The following is a 24525-nucleotide window of genomic DNA, read 5'->3' on the forward strand; positions in this document are numbered from 1 at the left end:
CTATACATGTTTTACTTCTTCTGAATACTAATTTCTACTTAAGAAATAGTCGAGGCTACAAAAAGAAGCAATGGGGAAAGGATTCCCTATTCAATAAATGGTGCTGGGATAACTGGCTAGCCATATGCAGAAGATTGAAACTGGATCTCTTCTTTATGCCACATACAAAAATTAACTCAAGATGTTTTAAAGACTTAAATATAAAACAGCAAACTATAAAAACCGTGGAAGACAGCCTAGGTAATACCATTCAGGACATAGGAACAGGCAAAGATTTCATGACAAAGATGCCAAAAGCAATTGCAACAAAAGCAAAAATTGACAAATAGAATTAAAGAACTTCTGCACAGCAAAGGAAAATATAAACTATAAACAGAGTGAGCAGACAACCTACAGAATGGGAGAAAATTTTTGCAAACTATGCATTCAATAAAGGTCTCATATCCACCATCTCTAAGGAACTGACATTTACAAGGAAAAAATAACTACCCCATTAAAAAGCAGGCAAAGGACATGAACAGACACTTTTCAAAAGAAGACATACATACGGCTAACAATCATCTGAAAAAAAGCTCAAAATCACTGAACATTAGAGAAATACAAATCAAAACCACAATAAGATACCATCTCACACTAGCCAGAATGATGACTGTGAAAAAGTCAAAAAGGAACAGATGCTGGTGAGGCTGCAGAGAAAAAGGAATGCTTATACACTGTTGGGGGGAATATAAATTAGTTGAACCCTTGTAGAAGACAGTGTGGCAATTCCTAAAAGACCTAAAAACAGAAATGCCATTTGACCCAAGAATCCCATTGCTCAGTATATACCCAAAGGAATATAGAATTTGTTCTATTCTAAAGACACATGCACACATATGTTCATTGCAGCACTATTTACAATAGCAAAGAAATGGAATCAGCTTAAATGCCCATCAGTGATAGACTGGATAAAGAAAATGTGGTACATACACACCATGGAATACTACGCAGTCATAAAAAAGAATGAGATCATATCATTTACAGGAATATGGATGGAGCTGGAGGCCATTATCCTTAGCAAACTAACGCAGGAACAGAAAACCAAATATTGCATGTGTGAGCTAAATGATGAGAACATATGGGCAAACACAGGGGAAAAACATACACTGAGCCTTTCAGAGGGTAGAGGGTGGGAGGAGGGACTGGATCAGAACAAATAACTAATGGGTACTAGGCTTAATACCTGAGTAATGAAATAATCTGTTCAACAAACTCCCATGACACAAATTTATCTACGTAACAAACCTGCACATGTTCCCCTGAACTTAACATGAAAGTTAACAAAAAAAAAAGAAATAGTCGATAAATTAGAACTCACTGTGTGTTTGGACTGAATAGCATTACCAAGACAGTAGTTGCAATGCTCACAACTCCTCTGCGAGGTAGGGAAGGCTGCACGTCTCACTGTACAGAGAAGGAAGCTATTGAGTGGCAGGGCCAATGTGGCATAGTGGGCTTGGTTTCCAACGAGCACGTGTGATTGCCTCTGGAGCTTTTAGATCAAGTTATTTAAATATAGCTAGCATAGTCATGAAATAGAAGGGTACATTAAATAGAAAGTGGGGTAGTAGGTAAAGCTTCTGTGTAGCCTTGCAGAAGTCAGATCAATTCTCTTGGCCTTAGTTTACTCAACTATTAGACTCTGTTTAGTGAAGCCCATTTCCAGCTATGAAAATCAAGTTTTTTGCCATGTCGATAGAATGCAATAGGAAAGAACAAAGGAATAACAAGTATGTAAAATTAAAAAAAGAAATGCGGTTAAGGGCTCTCTCTCTTTCTCTCTTGTAGGTGTGGGTGTGTGTTGGCGGGTGTCCCCTAATGGAAATATGAGGTAACTGTAGGGACAAATTATAGGAAATAGAAAATACATGGCAGAAAATACATGTCCGTATATTGATACAGACAATGAAATTGGTTGCTTTTTGTTTATGGTATTGGTGGGAAAATGACCCCCTCATTAATCAGATGGGACCAGGTGGCATGAAGAAACCCTGGGTTATCTTGGTAAATGCCTAATCTTTCCTCTCTTCCTCTATCCTGTTCTACTCTATTTTGATGGACATGTTCAGCACTTTTTGATCTATAGCAATTAAAAGAGAGCTTTTGCTGATGGAAGCTTGTCAGGCCTTTGAATCTGACACCAGGACCAGAGGGAGAGCTGCATCTGCCGTGGGAGTCTGGGCTGTCAGGTGATGACAGGGGCTTGCCCTTCCAAGGGGAGATCGCCTTTGGCAGGAGTAAGTGCTTTCACCCAGAGGCAGCCCTGCTAGTGAGATGAGAGCAGTGTGCACTGAGTTAGCAAAGTCAAAGGAGCGAGCTGGCAAATAGAATCACATCACATCTGCCAGAGAAAGTGATCAAAAGCAACAGGACCCAGGCAGCTGGCAAAAGGTGACCCCTGGATACTGGGCTGCTTCAAAAACACAGCTGATCCCAAAGATTGTGACAAGTGAATGAATGTGCTCACTATAAGTCTCTGCCAAGTTAAATAATACAGCTCTCTCTCCTTCCTTCCCTCTCTTTTTCTCTTTCTTCACTTTTTAAAAATCCATTCTATCTAGTTTACTACTGATATGGTTTGGCTGTGTCTCCACTCAAATAGCATTTTGAATTGTAACTCCCACAATTCCCACATGTTGCCGGAGGAACCTGGTGGGAGGTGATTGAATCATCGGGCGGGTCCCGTGCTGTTCTCGTGATAGTGAATAAGTCTCACGAGATCTGATGGTTTTAAAAATGGGAGCTTCCCTGCAGACGCTTTCTTCTCGTCTGTCGCCATGTGAGATGTACCTTTCACTTTCCTCCATGATTGTGAGGCCTCCTTAGCCACATGGAACTGTAAGTCCAATAAACCTGTTTCTTTTGTAAACTGCCCAGTCTCGGGTATGTCTTTATCAGCAGTGTGAAAACAGACTAATACAACGACTTACAGATTATGAAGAAATAATGTTTTGTACAAGGTGTATACTTTTGGATTTTGGGTGTTCTGATTAGACCCCATTGATTTCTTGGGAACACTGCCCCTACTAATCTGAATGCTTCTGCAAGCAATAGACTATACTTAATTGTCTTTTGTCTCCCATCGGTTGAGAGCCACATGTTTAAATGAAATGAAAAACTGTTTCATTTCAAATTCAAAAACAGTGTATTTTGCTAAAAGCCATGCCTAAGGAAGAAAAGTAGGTTATTTATTTCTGTATATAGAAGGAATATTTTAATCTCCTGATTTATGGTTCCTCGGCCACAGTCTTTGTTTGTTCTTTCATTTAGCCTTCAACTTTATGAAGAGAAGAGGTCATTTTCTCTTGAAATTTAGTTTTCCATTTTCTTTATAATCAGATGGTAACTATTTCAGATGCACTCTCAGCAGGAAAACATTGAACATTTTTAAATAAATACATTTACTGCAACTAAACCAGCCATAGCATGTCTGCTCATTAAGGTTTGAATTTTGTTAAATGTTTGCTAAAAACATATCTTTATGTCCTAGAAAACCAATTCACTATTCCATTGCAGATATATACATCGAGGAAACTGAGGCCCCAAATGATCATAGGATCTGCCTCATGTCACCCAGTTTATTAATGGCAGAGATAGTTCTTGAACTATTTATCCTTGACTCCCACCCTTGTACTCTTTCCAGCCTGCTTGTGCCACCTCCCTCTCCAAGTAAAAATCTATTATCCAGTGAGACTCAATCAATGATTGCTACATTCTTGTTATTCAGAGTGTGGTCTGGGAACTAGCATCATGGACAAACCCTGGCAGCATGTTAAAATGCCGAATCTTAGACTCCACCCCAGACCCATGGAATCAAAATCTGCATTTTTAACTCAATTCCCAGAAGATGTGCAGATTGAATTGTATGATAAACCTAAGAACCTAAGTTCTCAGGTGAAAGTTTTTAATTGAATAATATATTTCATTAGGTTTTATAGGATTGTAAAACATCTTATGCATATTTTTATTTTAACTGTTAAGGCTGTTAATTATTCTTTAATTTAGCTTGTTAAATGACAGAAGTTTAGCACCATCCATTTATTTAAGTGCAAAAGTAAGAGTGATCTCTAACCTTAGGCTGGCTATTAGAGAAAGTAAGACCTTTGGGGGCTGACATTCAAGGCCTTTCGTAGTTTGGCGTATAATAGGGGGCTGTGATGGTGTAAACAGATTGCTAAATGTGAAATGGACAGTTGTTAAACTGGACTATCCCTTTTCACTGAGAAATACACAATGCATTACAAACTCAATCTTAAAACATTCTTTGCAAACATAAGTTGAAGGCAGGACATTTTCTTGTCCTCTTCCTTATAAGTGAATAGCAGTGGTAGGAGATGGTCTGCCATCACAAACTTAAACCATTTAATTCCTGCTTTGGAATGGAGGAGCACAGGCTTTGCCTTTGCACACTTCATTTTCATTCATCTCTTATTTTCCCCTCCTCTCCATCTGTATGGTCTGTGCCTTGTCCTCTTGTGTCTCACTGTTCCAGAAATGTATTAAACAGTCTTGTTCTTCCAAATCATTTTCTGTGATGCCAACAGAAATGCCTTTAAAAAACAAAACAAAACAAAATCTGATAATCTGAGCTTAAAACTTCCAATGTCTTCTATTCTTATAAGATTAAGTAGAAACTTCTTAATAGACCTACATCTTAATGTCCACTATGATTTGGCTCTGACCCAATTTACTAATGCAATGTGTTATCCTTGCTTGTGCTCTGGATAAGAAAAAGAACATTCCTGGTCTATAAAAGGCATTATAGAAAAAATGGGAGAAATTTGAATTTATTCTGTAACTTTGATCTGTGTATCACAAGAAGTATTGCATCAATGTCAAGTAATTTTACTAATTTTATTAATTGTAATGTTTATGTAAAAGAACATCCTTCATTTTAGAAAATTACACTCAAGTGTTTAGAGCGTAATTCTGTTTGCAGCTTTCTCTTTAGAAAGTATTATACGTATATATATGTATTTATGTACACATGTATACATAGTCTGTGGAGAGAAGGAGTCATATGAGAGGGAAAGAGAGAAAGTATGCATGGGAATGCTGAACACATGCAGTAACATGTTAACATTCAGAAATTTAAGACTTTTAGGATTTCTTTGTGCTATTACTACAACTATTCTGAGTCTAAAATTTCAAAATAAAAAGCGGAAAAAAAATAAATTTTTATCAGCTTGTCATGTGGATCATCCTGCTGCCATTACATTTCTGTTATAAGATAGTAATCCACAAAATAGCTTATTGACTTATTTTTTAATGGAATGAATCTTATGAAACAATAGGCTTACTATGATTCAAGTTATATATGTTATATACACCTATCTATTTTAGTATAGAAAATACACTAAACGGTAAATATACAAATGTTAAGGATAGTTGTCCTTTGGCAGTGGGATGATGGATGATTTTAACTTATATTTTCTTTTGCTTATCTGTTTTTTCATAATTTATTCAAATGACTTTTTAAAAATTAGAAAATAAAATTATTCACGCAAATTATTTGTTAAACTTTATTTCATTTTGTTTTGAAATTAAAATTACAAGTAATGTATTTGCATCTTACTTTGCAAAATATTAGTGTCTATTTTAACATTGCTTAATCAGCAATTAAATGATTTCTCTAATATTTTGTTTTTCTTAGTTGTTGACAGAGATAAACAATTGAAAAAAATATTGCTTTTTCCTCAACCATTAGTCAATAGTTGTCATCTACTTTAACACTTGAATTTTTACTGTAGCTGCTAGAAATGGACACACTGAGTGGTTTGGATAAATATATATACCTTTGTCATGAACCCACTGGCAAAAGTATTATTAAGTGCCAAAGAGAACAGAAGTCAGGTACAGAGAAAACCTAAAGAGATAAACACCCTATATGTTATTTCTATTTAAGGGACAAAAGTAGTTATATGTTTGTTCAGTGACTAATTCGTTGCCTAAATAATTGCATTTTGGCCACACCAGGACACTCATTGCTTATCAAAAGGTGATTTGCTAATTAGTAGTTTTCACCTAAAAACAATGAAGAACAGAAAATTGAAAAAGGAAAGCTAAACTCTTTCTTAGGGTTTGACTTTGTCCTCTTCCATCATCAGTCTTGGGAGAAAGACTCTGTACTTTTGGAAATTAATAATACTTTTTTTCTTATTTTTTTCCCTACTTAAAAACCACAAATACTGAATCTAAATTAGAAACTTTGTAATTCCAGTGCAAAAGGTAACTCATTTATGTTTTTCTCAAGCAACACACACACACACACGCAGATGTACATGGACACTCACATGTACATATTTATTTTACTAAAATGGGATTCATATTATTTTGAAACACACCCTTTAAAATTGATATATTGTAAATACCATTCCCTCTAAGTGTTGTTCCACTACAATTTTACCATAAACAGCTGAAGTTAATTTACATTTATTTGATATTTATAGCTTTCCAGTTTTTTTCTTACTCCCCTAATAAAGACAACACTTTGATAACTATCCCTCTAGCTAAATATTTGTGTACATTCTTAAATGTTTTCTTATGATAAACTCCTACAAATATGATGAAAAGATTAAAGACTGCATTTAAAAATATTTGTGATATATGTTTCTTTTTTCAGAGTGTGAATAACGTTGTATACTCAAACTCTGAGAAACACATGTATGCGGCATAACGCTGGGTATTATCTATAATCCATGTCAACTTGATAGCTTAAAAATCCTGTCTTGTTTTAAGACACATTTTCTTGATTACTAGAAAGATTAATCTTTTAAATATACTTGTCAGCTATTTATATTTTTTCTTATGTAATTTATCTTTTATTTTATAACTAATGCTAAAATATGAAAATGTTAGAGATGAAAAAATTCTTGTTTTATATTTTTAAAACCAGAGAACTTATTTTCAGATAAAGTCTTAGAAGAAAACCTTACATGGAATAGATAATGTGTACCTGAACAGGTTGAAGTAGGAAAGCAAGACTTAGCTAAAGATGTTTGAGCAGGGTAGTGGACATTTTCAGAATTAATGGAATAGAGAAAAAAATGAGAGGAAAAAAAAAAGCAAAAAGAAAAAACAAATGAACAAAAAAAAACAAGCCCCAAACAGATGAAAAACAAATATAATTATGTGTTAAAGAAAAAATTATTCTAATGCTTATTAAAGACAGTAAGAAAGACTTTATTAAAGCCTTGTGGGAGGATGACTATCAAGATAAGTGTAAGGACCACTGAAATTGGGTCTTGCATTGGGAAGAGAGATTGAGCTTGACACCGAATGTAAAAAGGAAAAGTAGGAATTTATAGCCAAGGAGCAGAGTGAGGGTCGCTCGATGAAAAATTGCTAAGAGGAAACATCAAGGATCGAGGTGGTATTCCGGCTAAATGTACTTAGTAGGACCCTTGCTGAAGGCAAGCCAGTGTGATAAGACATCCAGTATGGGAAGTGAGGGATTTGATTAGATATCGAAGGTGGAGGACTTTCACTTAACTGACTTAGCCAGATTTGTGCTAAAATTGGACCGTGCAGAGATGATGTCAGAAGTCTAAAGGTCAGGACTTGTTGGAAAATTGCTTATAGGAACCTGAGTAGAGTTTGGCCAAGGAAAGAATCTTTGTCACATACAAGTGAGGAGAGAAAAAGACCTCAGTATTTATCACAGGCCAGGTCAATTGCAAGAATACCTTTTTACTGCTTTTTTCCTCACCCTCTTTCAAATTCTTTAGGGAATTCTTAAACCTTGGAGAATGTTTCCAATTTAATTCAGTCTAATGTTTAGAAAAAAAAATAAGAAAACCAGAATTATGATAACTTAATTTTTGGTTTCTCCTGTAATGCCAGAGCTGCAGGAGTATAAGGGAACACTGCCTACTTCAGTGCTGAATGGACAAGTAAATCACCTGTAGGTCTGGGAGGAGGGCCTGGGTTCTGCATTTCTATTAATCGCCTAAGTGATACCCTTGTCACTGCTCTAGGGAAGACAATAAGGGGCAAAATCAGCTGAACCCTCTTATTTTATAGACAAATTACTTGAGAGATGTGGGGACATCTACATCTACCTGTATGGCAAAGTACATGACCATAAACCTTTACACACACACACACACACACACACACACACACACACACACACACCCCTACCTACCCGGGAATCTGGATGAAATGTAATAGAGCTTGAATTAAAGTAAGAGTAATCTCCAGGAACACCAAGGAAAGTGCACTGAAAACTATTGACCTGATTTTCCAAATGAGTCTTAGAGAGGGGAAGGTGACTTGCTCAAAATTATATCTTTGTAAGCCCAGTGTGAGCACTTGTACAATTATTCAATAGAACCTGAAGAAAATATTGACACATAACAATGGAAGAATTCCTGCATTACCACATAGTAAAACTTACTGTAATGCTACTATGATGAAAACAACAGTAACAACTGGAGAGAGGGGGCAGTGGAGATCAGACGTGGTGAGTTTGAGAGAACTGTTAGACCTCCAAGTGGAGATTTGATGTGGACAAATAGACACATTCCTCTGAAGTTTAGGAAAGAGGTTTCATATGGAGATTTGGAAGCATCAGTGTAGATATGGCATTGAAACCCACAGAACTGGATCAGATCACTAGAGACTGATTGTCTCTTGAGAAAATAAGAGGTCTAAGGATGAATCCTGGGACACTCTACACTTCAGAGCTTGGGAATATGAAGTGGAACCAGAATCAAGACTGAGAATGAGTGACCCATTGTAAAGGAAGAAAACCAGGAGAAGGCAGTGTCCTGGCAGCCATAGGAATAGGAGAGAAGGCAGAGAATCTGAACATAGTTGTTGGTAGGAGGGTTTTTGTGAAAGTTCCCTCATGATTACCTAACTTATTGATGAAAAGGAAAATTATTAACTAAGAGCGATGGTGGAGAAAGATAAGGTGGAAAATGGCTACTGACGCATTGATTTAAAAAGACAAAGTGAAACGAACATGGAAACACTTCAATATGTGTGTGTGTTTATGATATAATTTATGTTAAAAACATAATATCCTATATATTCGTTATATGTGATATTTTATATATAATATATATATCATAGAAAAGAATATAACAAATACATATCAGATTTCCCCAGAGAAAGTGGAGAAGGGAGAAACCTAGTTTTACTTTATAAACACCTATATTTCCTTTTGAATTGTTATAGCAAACATACTTTACTTTTGAGTAAAGGTAAGAAAAAGTAGTTGGTCTTGCAGACCTTTGTTAAGGAAGTAACAAATCTGACACAAAGGTAACAATAACCTTTGTGAGACTGACTGCAAGATGGCTCAGGATTCCCAGGTCCTTGGAAGACATTTGGGTCTTACTCAGTGAAGGCCCTTTGTACTGTGAGGGATGGTCTGTGTTATCTTAGTCAGCTCGTGCTGCTATAACCATGGACTGCGTAGCTTATAACAACAGAAATTGATTTCTTACAGTTCTGGAGGCTAGAAGGCCAGGATCAAGGTGCCAGCATTGTTGAGTTCTGGCGAGGGCCCTCCTCCCGTTTGTAGACTGTTGACTTCTCATGGTAGGCTCACATGGCAGAAAGAGGGTGAGAGGGTCCCTTTTGTAAGGGCACTAATCCTACTTAAGAGGGCTCCGCTCTCATGACCTAATTATTCTTAAAGGCCCCTCCTCTAAATATATCATGTTGGAACTAGGATTTTAACATATGAATTTTGAGGGACACAAACATTCAGCCCTCTGTGTATGCCTTGCAGAGCCATTTCTTCTTTGGATGTCTCACTGTGGGGATAATAGGGTTTTTGGGTAACTGTAAGATTTTGTTGTTATTGTTTGTTTTTGTGGTAAAAACCTCTGACATCAGGTACCTGATACTGAGAGAGATATTCAGACATACGGTGTTTTTTCACATAAAGTCAACATTTCCCAAGAAGCTGGCCAAGTTCACCTAGAAGCCTTCTGTTTCACTATAATTAATTTCTCAAGCCTAAGAGTTGCTATATACAGGGCTTTTTTGCCTATCCTAGAGAAGTACTAGGACAAGTTTCTAGAGATCTCAGAATTGAGGGTCTCTGAATATGGCCAGATTACAATCTATAATTGCAGGTTTAGGGCTAATTCTTGATAGCATTAACCTCACCCAGAGTTGATCTGTGAATCCTTGTGCCAACCTTTAGATCTTCACAGTCATGTATAAACTCAATAGGAATACTGGCTAATGACTGCTGGCCTTTCTTCTAAGCTGAGGCCATGTGACAGCCCCTACTTACTCCAGAAAAGCTAAAGAAATCTTTGAGATCTCTATCTTGGATTCCAGTGCTTCCAGTGGCAGTTAGGGCTATGGTCTTCCTGGGATTTTTTTTCCCATGAGAAGATAAGGTAAAAGATTTCTGGGGGCAATCAGGGCACAACCAATCAGCTCTAGGGGGCAGCCTGGACACCGTCACTGACCTGGAAGTAGCTCAGGTGCTGATTCTGCCTTCAGGGTGCACACACCCTTATGTGATGAAGGAGGAAACTCATGGGGTTTCTGGACAACCTGGCCTTCAGAGAAGGACCTAGGGTTAATCACTGGGTGTTCCTACACCTACTGTGAGCTTCAGAAACAATTCTGGGCTCCATCAGAATTCACAAATGATTGAGAATTTTGTAACTTTGGAGCATTTCAGAGATGGCCTGATGTACTGCTAAGTAGCTGAACAGATTTTGGGGACATTGGGGATACCATACCTAATTCTATAGCCCAAAGTCTTTTTCTTTTTTTAGACAGAGTCTGGCTGTCTTACCCTGGCTGGAGTGCAGTGTCACAATCTCAGCTCACTGCAACCTCCACCTCCTGGTTCCCAGTTCAAGTGATTCTCCTGCCTCAGCCTCCCGAGTAGCTGGGATTACAGACACCTGCCACCACACCGGCTATTTTTTTTTTTTTTTTGTATTTTTAGTAGGGACGGGTTTCACCATGTTGGCCAAGCTGGTCTCGAACTCCTGGCCTCAAGTGATCTGCCGGCCTTGGTATCCCAAAATGCTGGGATTATAGGTGTGAACTACTGCACCTGGCCTGGCCCCTAAATCCTCTTAATGCCAGGAATCATCTTAGGGTTTGGGGGCTTCGAGTGAAGGCAAGTGCTCACAATTAAAAACACTGGAATTTTCTTAAAGAAAAGGAGGCTCCTTCTGACAGCCACTGGACATTTTGGGGGAACCATAAATTCTCGAGATCCTGTCTCTGAGAATAATGTCTGTGTTCCTTCCTTCTACTGTGGTAGGAAGAAAGAGTTAAATTGAACCCTCTAAGGTCAGAAGAAACAGTTGGAATTGTGTGAATGAGGTTCTGGAAAACTAGATTTCTGAAGCTAGACACTAGCAAGATTAGGTCTGTTCTAGAAGCCATTAGGAAGACCCAAGGTGAGGTTCTGAGGCCCTCCAGGCTCTGTGGGAAGAGCATGAGAAAATCCCATTTCCAGGAATGAGATTAGTCCTGGAATGCTGCTGCAATTCCATTGCTGGCCGGCTTTTGCTTCTGGGCATGGCTGGCTGTCTCTGGCAAATTTTCACAGGTTTTGGCCTATTTAAAAGAACAGCCCTAATACTTAGGAGATCTGTGGGTGTTTAGGTAAATTATTTATGGCCTGAAATCTTTTACATTCACTCTCCAAAGGAGTAATGCAAAATGGATGAGGCCTGAGTTCTACCTCAATGCATAAACCATGCTCAGTCTTCTTGCAGAATGGTCCTCTCTGTGTGGAGTCTTTTGGCAACCTCTGTGGTTTTTAAACTTTTATGGCCCAGACTTCGCTCAAGGTGAAGCAGGTGTCTGTGTAATTTTATTTTAGCAGTAACATTCTTGTGGAATTGTTGTTTGATTCTCTTCTCTCATTGGGGTACTTCTGGGCTGAGTTTTTAGCAGGGGAACACTGGCTGTTAAGATTATTTAAAATTTTAAAATAATACAGAGAGGAAATATTATTTTCATTTTGCTGAAGAAGAAATTTACAGTATGATAAATTACTTTACCTAATATTACACAGCAGATAGTTGAGTCTTTTCTCCTGTAATTCTGCTTTAGTTTATATTGCTTTTTAGCTTCTAGAATGCCATCAACATCTGTTATATGTGGGTAATCCAATGATAGTTTCAGGTCATGTCAAATCATAATTCTCATTCTTTGGACTTTCTACTTTGCGAGAAAGACTTTAGCTCCAAAGGAGTGTATGTAACTTAGTAACTTGGTTTTATTTCTTTGTGAATATAAGACAAAAATCTTGCTTGGGTCTGGCTGAAATTATTTATCCTCTGACATCTGTAGTAAAACTTATTTTTCCCTTGAAAAATTAGAACTTAAGTCCTGAGTATACCATTTTTGTTTGAGAATATTGATGACCCCATTTCCCAGCTTTCTGATGATTCTGACTGCTTAGTACTGACTCCCTATTGCACATCTGTGTGATCATGCCTGATGCTCCACCTCCGTGAGCATGTATGCATGTATTTGCTTGTCAGCTCAGAGTATTGCTTCTGTGTGGATCAAGTTAGATAAGAGATGTGAAAAAGATTTGTACCTTCTTCTAAAAATATGAAGTGACATTATTGTATTTGAAAACAAAAACCAGAATGAGCAGGAGCCAAACTGTTTTCCTGGGATAATCTGCCTCTAAATATATCAATATAATGAACTAATTGGTCTGTCTGCACACTTACAGATGAGGAGGAAAGCTCAGCTTGTTTCTAACATCTGTAGGATATACATGTCTCCCTATTTCCCAGATCCTGTTGGTCCTTGGCTACTTTTAATTGGTTATGTGTTACTTGTGTCAGCAGTACTCAGCGAGGTTTCAATGTGACTGTGATTATTGGCATCTTGAGGACAACTGTGTTACAATTCACTTGTCAATGGCTTATGCTGGGAGTTGCCATAAAATTGTGGCCCAAGTATACCTTAATGGGTGGCCAAGTAGAGATATTTATTTCCTTTATTCTAAAAGAAATGTAAGTGCCATGATGGTTTCTGGAACTAAAATATTTAACTTTTGAAATAACATGGTCTTTATCCCCGAGGTACATTAAAATGATGGTGCTCTATTTTCATTTAGTTATCCGCTTGAATGAGAATGTGAGTAGCTGAAAGGGACCAAAATATCTGAGTTGCCTTTTTGAGAGGAATCAGAAATTGGTTGCTAATGGAGAAAACTTCTGAACTCAGAAACTCATAATATATTCTGTATTTTTTGCAGAAAATACCTAAATTACCCATGAAACTTTTATGAACAAGGCAATTTTTGAAGCTGAAAAGCATAAAATCATGTCGAAGCTCTCAAAGTGAAGAAGATAAAATTGTTCTTCACCTCCTTGCCAACCCCACCCCTGCTTTTTTGGCCTAGTTTTTTAGTGGAAAGTTCTCTTATAAAATTGCTCTTCTTTCAGTTCCTCTTTTCTGAGTGATTGATGTCTAGAGAATTCTGTTTTGCCTTGGATAACTTCAGAGAATACATTTTTCTTCACTGGATTCGGTACTTATTTGTGTCTGTACTATTTTTTTTGGTTCCAAAGGGTGGAACACCATCTTTGGCTTTTTCTGAATCTTCTCTTCATCCTTATTTTGTGGTTATTATAGAAGATGTTAGAGCATCAGACTAGTATTCATTTGGAAATATAGTGTAAGTCAGAGTCCTAATGGGAAAATGGAAACCATATTAGTTATTTAAAGTAGAGTAGATTTGCTTTGGGATACCATTACACAGATATTGATGAGCTGAAAGAGCAGAAGGGGAATACTGGTGACCTAGAATCATAGGTACAGGAAGAGCCTGGGACAAAGACCTATGTGGCTGGTTTAGTGACTGCAGAAAGAAGTTGCAGGCTTGACCAGGTGTCACTGCCAGCGCAGCTGCAGGGGAAAGGAGTAAGGCAGGAAAGAACTCCTTGTCCCTCTCCTCCCATCTCCCACTATTACTCTATTATGCTGCCTACTGGCAGAAATTCAGTTCCCAAACTGGGAATTGTTGTTTGCCATGTTTTGAGCCCCAACATCACAGAGTATAGAATGAGTTTAGAGGTAAGAAAAACTGCATAATGAATCAGCACAATCTCAATAATTTTTGACACAAAGAGTATAATTTGTTAGTTTACTTTCTCTCTATTTATATACTATCATCGGTGCAGGTTCCTGCAATTAAATATGTAATAAAGTTTCATCAAGTGGCACTTTGAATTAGTAATTTTCAACTCAATGCATTTTTATTCTATAATTCACGACTTTCCATTTGTTTCTCTGTAACTTTGGTAGCAAATATTTTAAATTAGCATTTGGTAATTCATAATATGGGATTTTCACCTTCTGTGCTGATTTTAGAACTTAATTTCCATATAAGTTGCAACTACAAACCATCTAATAATGTAGCAAACATATTAAATCAATTTATAAAGAACCAAAGTATGTAACAAGTTATTTTCCTCTAAAGAGAAAATAATTTGAGAACATATATAGCAGAATTTTTAGAGAAGGAATTTAGAGCTCACGTAATCAATGAACCTTGTTTCTAAAGTTACTTCCACATAATAGTCAATTCCTTCTTTACAGATTTTAGTGCTGGACTGAGATAGTAGTGAAAAAATAAATTTAGAGATAAAATAAATATACTCTTGACACACATGTTTTATTAACCCAGTTTTCTTGAATTTTACAAATTGGAAATATTTCAGGTGGATGAATAAGTAAAACACATGCAAAGAGAAACAAGAATAGGCTAGATTGGGATGTTAACTCAGCTTGTTAAAAAGGCTTATATTTAGAATCTACAATAACAAAAAGGCAAGCATTATCCTTTTTTGCATAATATTCTTTGAGGAATGCTCTTCCTATATACTTACAAGAAAATAATTTGATTTCTTTAGTGGAAGAAATTACCAAATAGTTTATTACAGTGAGGCAGGAAGTGTGCATAGATTAATTTAGCAAGCAGTTATTGCAGTCCTTCTGTAATGGAATAGAACTATGGCCTATCCTTTATATATAAGAACAAAGAGAAACTACAAACTGGGAAGCCAGGAATGGGGTCAAAAATTGACTTGCTTTCTGATCAGTGCCGCTTGTTAAGCACTCCCACTCACCTGAACCATTCAACAGTTGTTGAAACATCTGCTTTCCAAGATATTCATTTTTATTTTGTGTTTTTGCTCCTGCCTTTCTGTTAGCATGAAATGCCCTATTTTTCCCCCTTCCTATTGAAATTCAATCTGTCTTTCAAGATCCAGTTCAAATGCCATGAGTTTCATAACCCCCTCCTCCAGATTCTGTTAGTTTTAATCAGTTGCTTCTTCTTTACTCCTAGAAGATTTTGCTCTATCATTTTCTACATCTCCCACACAAATAATTCCTTATTTCAGATAATGTTCTCCTTTGATAATAGTACCATGGACTATTATGGATGAAAGCTTTATATTCTTCGACCCAGAAAACCATACATATTTATACACAAATGCATTTTCATAGGGTTTGCTAAGAAGAGGTAGAGAGTTTGAAAGGTGGACTGTTCAAATATCTAATGCACAATTGTTCTTGGTAATGAAATGCCTGATGTTTCCCTTCCCCTCTCTTCTTTTTCTTTCCTTTGCTTCCTTTTCCTTCCACCATCTTTCCTCTTTATTACCTTCCCTTCCTTTCCCTTCTCTTCCCTCCCCTCCCCTCCTTCCTTCCTTCCTTCCTTTCTTCCTTCCTTCCCTCCCTCCCTCCCTCCCTCCCTCCCTCCCTCCCTCTCTCCTTCTTTCCTTTTCATTCCCTCCTTTGTTCCTTCCTTCCTTCCTTTCTTCTCTCTTCTTTCTTTTCAGTTTATTTATCCTTTATCTAATACTGGTGTTTATTTTTTAGTGACTCCAAAATTTGGAAACTTTTTTCTTAGAATAGAAAGGTATTTTAAGAAAGAAAATTCACTTAGAAGCCAAAATTGATATACTTTGAATAACTTTGTTGGGGAAAAAAAAAACTGCATTACTCCGTTTCTAATATTATGTCCTCACCAACATTACAGAATTAAGTAGTGGAAAGAACACTAAACTTGGTGTCCAAAAATATGAGATCAACTTCAGGATCTACCAGATAATAATATTGTGAACTTCCAAATTAATGTAATATCCCTGAGCTTACTACAACTCTGTGAAATAAAAAAATGAAAGTACTATAGGATTGTGGAGATTGTGTGAAATCTATATGAAAGCACTTTGTGAACTATGTGCCACATTATTTAAGTTGTAGAAGTTGTTTTCATTATCATTATGAATAAGAATACGTAGATTATAAGATCATATTTAAACATGAACATCAAATATTTTCTAGAATATAAAACATTTCAGGGAAACAAGAAAGAGTACTTAGTGACCCGAGTCAGTAAAATTTACCTAAAATGCCTTAATTATTGTTCATTATATAATACCTCATTTAAAAAAATCAAAAGTGAGATCTAAAGTTAATTTGCATTGTATGTATTGAATTAGCACCAGTGAAAAGAACTATAATACAGTAGGAGTGGAAATGATCTTACTACAGACAATTCTGTCACTTAAAAAATCATTTCTTGACCCAGATTCTGTGTGTCAGATGTAGTATCTCTATATTGCAAGGAGTAAAGAGCCCGAGAGTGGTAGAATTGGAAAAAAGCTTTGTTTTTCCAGACATTACTTTTTGTGGTTTAGTTCTCCTCAGAGTGATTAAGTGCTGGTTGGCCTTACCTACCTTTAGGTTTGTACTTTATTAAGAGACCCTGATGGATTAATGGTACATAAGTTGTATTTCCTGGGATTCTGCTTGTCAGGAGCTTAATGCTGAAAGCAGATGACATGTAAACTGCCCCTGCAGCACCCATTACACTCAAATAAAATAGTCAATCATGAGTGGGTACTACATAGAATCACTACTCTTTTCATTTTGGTTTTAAAAATGTGAGGCTTTAAAACTGCAGAGAAAAAACCTAGAGGCCACAATATTTTAAATTAAACCTATCATTTACACTAAAGGAATGAGCCATACTTAATTTTTAATGTTCCAACATCTTTTGACTTTTCCATTTACAAGCTGTACAATTTTATGCAAGCTGTTTTTCCCCCTCTGAGTCTCAATTTCCTTTCCTGTAATATATGAAGAGGTTGAGCTATATCATTTTTAATAATCTTTGAAGTCTCAAAGATGCATTTGATTACTTAAAATAATGGTTTACTATAAAATCCCTGGAAGATAACCTAGGGAATATCATTCTGGACGTGAGACCCGGCAAAGACGTCATGACAAAGATGCCAAAAGCAATTGCAACAAAACTGAAAATTGACAAATCGGACCTAATTATACTAAAGAGCTTCTGCCCAACAAAAGAAACTATGAACAGAGTAAACAGACAACCTACAGAATGAGACAAAATTTTTGCAAACTATGTGCCCAACAAAGGTCGAATATCCAGCATCTATAAGGAACTTATACAAATTTACAAGAAAAAAAGCAAACAACCACATTAAAAAGTAGGCAAAGGAGATGAGCAGACACTTTTCAAAAGAAGACATACCAGCAGCCAACAATCATGTGACAAAAAGGTCAATGTCACTGATAATTACAGAAATGCCAATCAAAACCGCAATGAGATACCATCTCACACCAGTCAGAATGGCTGTTACTAAAAAGTCAGAACAATAACAGATGCTGGAGAGGTTGTGAAAGAAGGGAAGACTTATGTGGTGCTGGTGGGAATATAAACTAGTTCAGCCATTGTAGAAAGCAGTTTGGCAATTTCTCAAAGAACTTAAAACATTACCATTCGACCCTGCAATCCCATTACTGGATATATGCCCAAGGGAATGTAAATCATTCTATCATAAAGACATGTGCATGTGTCTGTTCAATGCAGCACACTACTCACAATAGCAAAGACATGGAATCAACCTATATGCCCATCAATGGGAAACAGGATAAAGAAAATGTAGTACGTATACACCATGGAATACTATGCAGCCGTGAAAAATGAGATCATGTCCTTTGCAGGAAAATGGATAGAGCTGGAGGCCATTATCCTTAGCAAACTAATTCTGGAACAGAAAAACACAGACTGCACGTTCCCACTCATAAGTGGAAGCTACACATTGAGCACACATGGACACACAGAAGGGGACAACAGACACTGGGGCCCACTTGGGTGTGGAGGGTGGGAGAGGGCGAGGATCAAAAAACTACCTATTAGGTACTATGCTTATTACCTGAGTGACAAAGTAATTTGTACACTGAACCCGTGTGACATGCAATTTACCTATATAGCACACCTGCACATGTACCCCTGAACCTAAAATAAAAGTTCAAAAAAATAAAATAATATTTTAATGAGCCCTCTACATATTGTTTCTTTTTAAAAGAATAGTATTTAAAGAGAATTATAATCTCAAAAATATCAATAGAATACCTTTTTCTTACATAAGACTTTTTTGGTCTAGCATGTTCTAGTTACATGTGCCTAATTATAATAACAGTCTTTCTCATTCACAGAAGTATGTAAAATAATTTAGCTTGCCTGATGCTCCCTAAGGGAGTATTTTGTATTTCTACAGAATGAGAAACATTATGTATTTGTGTGGGCACACATGTAAAATTACGGACAACGATGTTAGTGTCTACAATAAAAAGATCAACTTAGAAATTCGTGATTTGCTTTCTGTTTCTACATCTCTCTATGCATCTATACAAAGTGAAACACTTTTAAGTTTAAATTAGATAATGTACATGCTTTATCACATTACTAACTGCAAAAGATTACTAGTAAGTAGTGCTTGAATTCATTCATTCAACATTGATAGAGTACAAATATGTGGCAGACATTGCAAAAGACAGTGGGGGTAGGAAGAAGAAAATATACTGCACAACCTCAAGGAACACTGAACCTAGCTGCCTAGGGAACACATATTTGACTATATAAAATAATAAAATGATCTTGTAGCTGAGATTAGTTCAATGAGATTGTATGAGAATACACAGAAGGAGAATTTTCTCAGTCCCTTAAGAGAAAACAGGCACTGCTTCCTGGGTGATGTTCAAGCTGAGTCAAATGAGGAGGATGTGCAGAAGTGCAAATGTTTAAAGAGCATTTTTTCCAGAAATTCATTCAAAACATTCATTTCAATATGATTGAAATGTCAGTATTCAGTATATGCGTTTCAGTATGACTAAAATGTGGGCTGCAAGGCAAATTTGGTAAGATGAAGCTGCAGAAATCGGCAGTGACAGACTGTGGAGGGCCAAGTTGATATTTTATTTTGAAGACTGTGGGAATTCAATGACCTGTTTTAAGCATGGGAGGAAATGGGAAATAGCTTGAGTGGCTCTGCAGTTTAGAAGGATCATCCTGTTAGTTTTGTGGTGAAAATATTGAAGGCAAACAATCTGGGGGCAGGGAGAAGAGCTAAGCTATTAATATAAGTGGCAAGGTTCGGAAGCATCAGGAATTGCAGGTAAAGAGCATCTGGTAGAACAAAGAGACCTTTCGTGGGTAGCCTCATCAGGCCTCAGTGATTTGTGAAAAACAAGGGAATGGGAAGAATCAAGCATAATTTCTGTGTTCTGGGTTAGGAAAGGCGGTGGTTCCACTCATTGAAAAGGGAGGAGATTTGGTGGTAAGGCATTGAGTGATTTTGTGGCCCTGAAATAAGTAGACAGAAAAGCATAAAGGGCATTTAGCCATCGAGGTTGGAAACATAGATCTGTGCTTTATCAGTACAGTTTATTTGAAATTATAAGAGCGGATGGTGCCACCCAGGGAAACAGAATACAATGAAATCAAAAGAAGAACAAAGATGGAACTCTGAGAAATACTATCACTTCAGGTGTAACCAAAAGAAATTGAATCTATGAAGGAGGTTGAAAAATTACCACAGATATTGAAGGAAAAACAGGCAAGAATTACATTATGGAAGCCCTACAGGAGACAATTTCAAGAAAACTTGGTCCAGACATCTACATATTTAATAGATTTAAAGTAAAATCAAGGCTGACGTGTTCATTTTATTAGAAATAATGGAGTAACTGCTTAACCTTGTGAGAAAAATTTCCCTGGAAAGATAGGGATAGAAATTTTATAGCTGTAGGATGAGAGCAGAAAGGGAAGGAGAAAGTGTAGATTACCTGTAAAGAATTTAGTTAAGGGGAAATCAGGACAATTAGATGATGGCTGGGAGACCCTGAAATTAAAATTTTTTTTTTTAATAATGAGAGAGAGATTTATGTTTATTTATATATGAAGGGAAAGAAAGCAGTAAGGGAGCTGTCGAAGGTACCAGAAGAGGATGTTGTGAGGTCTCTCAGGAAGAAGAGGGTACGATTTAAAGCACAGGTTAAAGGATGATGTTGAGACTTGATATAAGATAAACCTTCTTGTGAGACTGGAGAGAGATGATAAGAATGAGTGGAAATATATCTATATTTATCGATGGACAGAGATGGCTAAAAATCAGGGAACTGAGTGATGATTATTCCTTCTGAAATAAGAGAAATTTTCTTTGTAAATGAATAAACTGATGAGATATCAATATTTTTGTGGATTTTTAAACTCTAATTTATTTGCACATACTTTCTCATGGTCTCTGTGGAATTAAAATGCTACCCTTAACATAGAAAACTATTTTCCCTATCAAAAGTTGTGTAGCATGATATTCTGACACATTTTTTCAATTGTTTTTTATTGCTGTAGGTGTCAGTGTTTGGTACTTTACCATGGCACGTGTTTACATACAAACGTGACCAGAGAACTACAACAAATAGTTTACAGGAGGTGAAGATTATAGAGGTATCAAAACTCTGTGTATTTAATGAAGTGAATGTATGATTAGCTCAGCTTCTAAGAGACTGGAAGTTGAGAACCTAGGGTGTTTCATAATGTTGGGCTTCAAAAATATATTTTTGAAATTGTCTCCAAGATAGGTCACATGTACCATGATTGAATTTTCTAGAGCACAATAATTTGTTAAGTGTAAACCTTTAACATATATTAGTTTGTAGCTATATTTTGGCATTTTTAAAATTCTGCAACTGCAAGCCTGAAAAAAATAGAAATGGCCTTGACCTGCCTTGTTCACTGAGATGCTCCATGCTTGGGCAGTGGTAATGACTCTTAGACATATAATCTAGAAAGCTTCTATTTCAAGATCACATTTTTGAATTTTTTTTTTCCATTTAGGAGTATAGTAGAAACAGAAGAAAGGGGAGATGTTTGTTAACAGAGCTTGTTATTATCTTTAATAACATGTCATTGTGTGGAAATTAAGACTTATCCATTGTGAAACTAGTTAAGTAAATCCACATAATAGAGCTGTCGTATTAAATCAATGATCAGACATCACCCGCTATTGCATGCTTCTGGCTTAGTTTATTGTTCATAGCAGCTGAAAAAGGAATATATATTTTTCTTTCTTGATTTTATTTTTAATGTACAAATAATAGTTGCATACATTTATGGGGTTCAATGTGATGTTTTGATATATGTGTACAAGGTGAAATGATTAATTGGGCAAATTAACAAAATTATCACCTCAGATACTTATCATTCTTTTGTAAAAAAAATTTGTAAGCAGTAAAACTTTACTCATATGCAACTCTACTCTTTAGACGTCTTACAGAAAGCCCTGCTTAGAACTAGAAGCAAAAAAAAATTCATTCTGAAAAACTTAAAATAGAAACATACAACTCACTTTTAGCTAGGGTTGCCAGAGAATTTCAATTACACATTATTGTACTTTATATTAGGTATGAGATTGTATGGTTTTTAAAGTCCATTTTCCCCCAAAAATTCTCATTTTATTTTGCTCTAAGATAAATGAGAAGCATAATAAGAATATGCAGTGTTCACTTCCTACTATCTGGAGCACTCAATTTGTTTTGTTTTTTAGTCTATACACTACCCACAAGTCTATACATTCTTTTCACACCAGCACTGAAACATTTTATATAATAATGGAACAGCAAGTTCTTTTTTGAAGAGGAATATTTTTATTCATCGAGAGATGCTGTTCTTTCCAGAGATATGAACATTATGTTCAAAGCAGCAACTCCAATCTAAAGGAAATGTGGAGGGAGCTATTTTCAAAGTGGCAACAGGAAGATTGGATATTTCATCAAAATAAAGAGGTTACTCAAAATTAACCAAACCCCTAACACTCAGAGAACAGCATACCGAACTTTCAAAAGGCGACCCATGTTCAGGTATCTGGGGCCTCTGCTGTACGTAAGTACATTACCCCACAGAGGAATTGAGTTAGTGTATTCAGAACAACTGGTTCTGCTGCAAACCCAAGTTGTTTGAAAATGGCCTTTTATTTAATTTTACCTCAGAAAGATTTAAAAAAAAAACTCAGTAAAAGGAGACACAGATGCCAAATGAGCAGGGTTTTTTTGTAATAAGGCTGCTAAATATTCCTTACCTTAAATGAGTTCCATAAGATAATAAACAAGATGAAACAAAATGCCTTAAAAGATTCGGGGGGATGGGGAAAATAAATTTGTCCCTACTGAGTAGGTAATATCCAGTGCTAATAATAAGAACAATTTTAGTCAGGTACCATGCATAAGACTCGACTGAATATTGGTTTAAACATACAAAAGACATTTTTGGACAATTGGAGCATTTGAGTATGGACTGGAGGTTGGATGACATTATGGAAATATTGCTCAGCTTTTGAGATGTGAAAATGGTATCACAATTTTATAGGGGAATGCCTCTATTGTTAGGAGAGTATGCTGAAATATTCAGGATAACATGATTTTAAAAAAAGACAACAAAACAAACAAAACCAACTAGACATTTAGCTATTTCATTGTTTCTGAGATGCCACTGATTGTCAGAAATATCATTAGTGTTTATACAAACAATTAAGAGAGAAAAATGCTGCCAATAAAAAGATAATGCTTTCACATAAATTTGCATTTTATTTTATACATACTGGCAGAGCTTTATAAGTCATTTTTGACAGTTTGTAGAATTATATGTCCATTTTATGGATACCTTAAAAATGAACACAAACAAAATAATTGTTTACATTTTCTGGAAGCTCCTCCCCATTCAGAGTCTGACTCTTCTGGTTCATGTTTGGACTCACAGCCATCCATATCCATGCCATTTCTCACAATATCACCCTTTGTACCATTAGGAAAATCGATGTCACAGCATTATTTCAAATAATGCTTCACTCATTAATCTGGGACTTTATTCCAAGCTGCGGATACCCATTTTGCAAGTTTTGAGGATGATGCTTTTGATATTTGCATTCGGGCAGGCAATGACATTACAACTGCCACCAGGCCACAGCAATTATAAGACACCACCAGCTTTAGACACATCCCAGTTTTATTTTATTGTACTTTTTAATTGATATATCATGTTTTTAAAAGGGCACATGTGATATTTTGATATATGAATTTACAATGTGTAATGATAAAATCAGGGTAATTTTGATATACACCTCCTCAAACATTTATCTTTTTCTCTTTGTGTTGGGAAAATTACAATTCTTCTCATAGCTATTTTGAAATATACAATAAATTATTGTTAACTATAATTTTCCTATTGTACTATCAAATACTAGGACTGATTATTATTATTTTTTTACCTAATGGTATTTTTGTACATATTAGGCAACTTCTCTTCATCTTACTCTTTTCTTCTCGGTCTCGGTAACCACCATTGCAGTCCAAGAATTCCACTTTTTTAGCTCTTGCATATGAGTGGGACAACATGATATTTGTCTTTCTGTGCCTGGCTTATTTCCCCTTATGTAATGAGCTAGAACTCCATCCACATTGTAAACGACAGGATTTTATTCTTTTTTTATGACTGAATAGTATTTTATTGTGTATATATACCAAATTTTCTTTTTCCACTCATCTGTTGATGGACACTTAAGTTGATCCCATAGCTTCGCTGTTATGAATAGTGCTGCAACAAACATGGTAGTGCAGATACCTCTTCAATATACTCTTTCCTTTCTTTTGGATATATTCACAGCAGTGGGATTGCAGGATCATGTGGTAGTTCTATTTTTATTTTTTGAGGTTTGTTTTCCATAATGGCTATATTACTTTACGTTCCTACCAACGGTGTACAAGCATTTCCCTTTCTCCATATCCTCACCAGCATTTGTTATTTTTTGTCTTTTTGACGACAGCTATTCTAACTGGGGTAAAATAATATCTCATTGTGACTTCGATATGCATTCACCGGATGATGAATGATGTTGCACATTTTTCATATACTTATTGGCTGTTTGTATGTTTTCTTTTGAGAAATGGCCCATTTTTAATCAGACTATTATGATTTTGCTATTGAGTTGTTTAAATTACTTATGTATTTTGCTTATTAATTCCCTATCAGATGGATAGTTTGCAAAAAATTTCTTCCATTCCATATTCTTTGTTTTGCAGAAGCTTTTTAGTTTAATGTAATCTCATTTGTCTATTTCCGCTTTTCTTACCTGTGCTTTTGAGGTCTTACCC

The 24525-nt window shown here is 36.1% G+C and overlaps 1 long non-coding RNA gene across 1 annotated transcript in view; it reads left to right on the plus strand.

Moving 5' to 3' along the window:
• The first annotated feature begins 2796 nt into the window (after positions 1–2796).
• PYDC2-AS1 (PYDC2 antisense RNA 1) overlaps positions 2797–24525 on the plus strand; it is a 164833-nt gene continuing 143104 nt past the window's right edge. Inside the window, exon 1 of the long non-coding RNA NR_120606.1 lies at positions 2797–2877. This is a non-coding gene — a long non-coding RNA (PYDC2 antisense RNA 1). The remainder of the gene's footprint in view (positions 2878–24525) is intronic.

Source organism: Homo sapiens, chromosome 3 (assembly GCF_000001405.40).
Source record: "Homo sapiens chromosome 3, GRCh38.p14 Primary Assembly".
Classification (NCBI taxonomy): domain Eukaryota; kingdom Metazoa; phylum Chordata; class Mammalia; order Primates; family Hominidae; genus Homo; species Homo sapiens.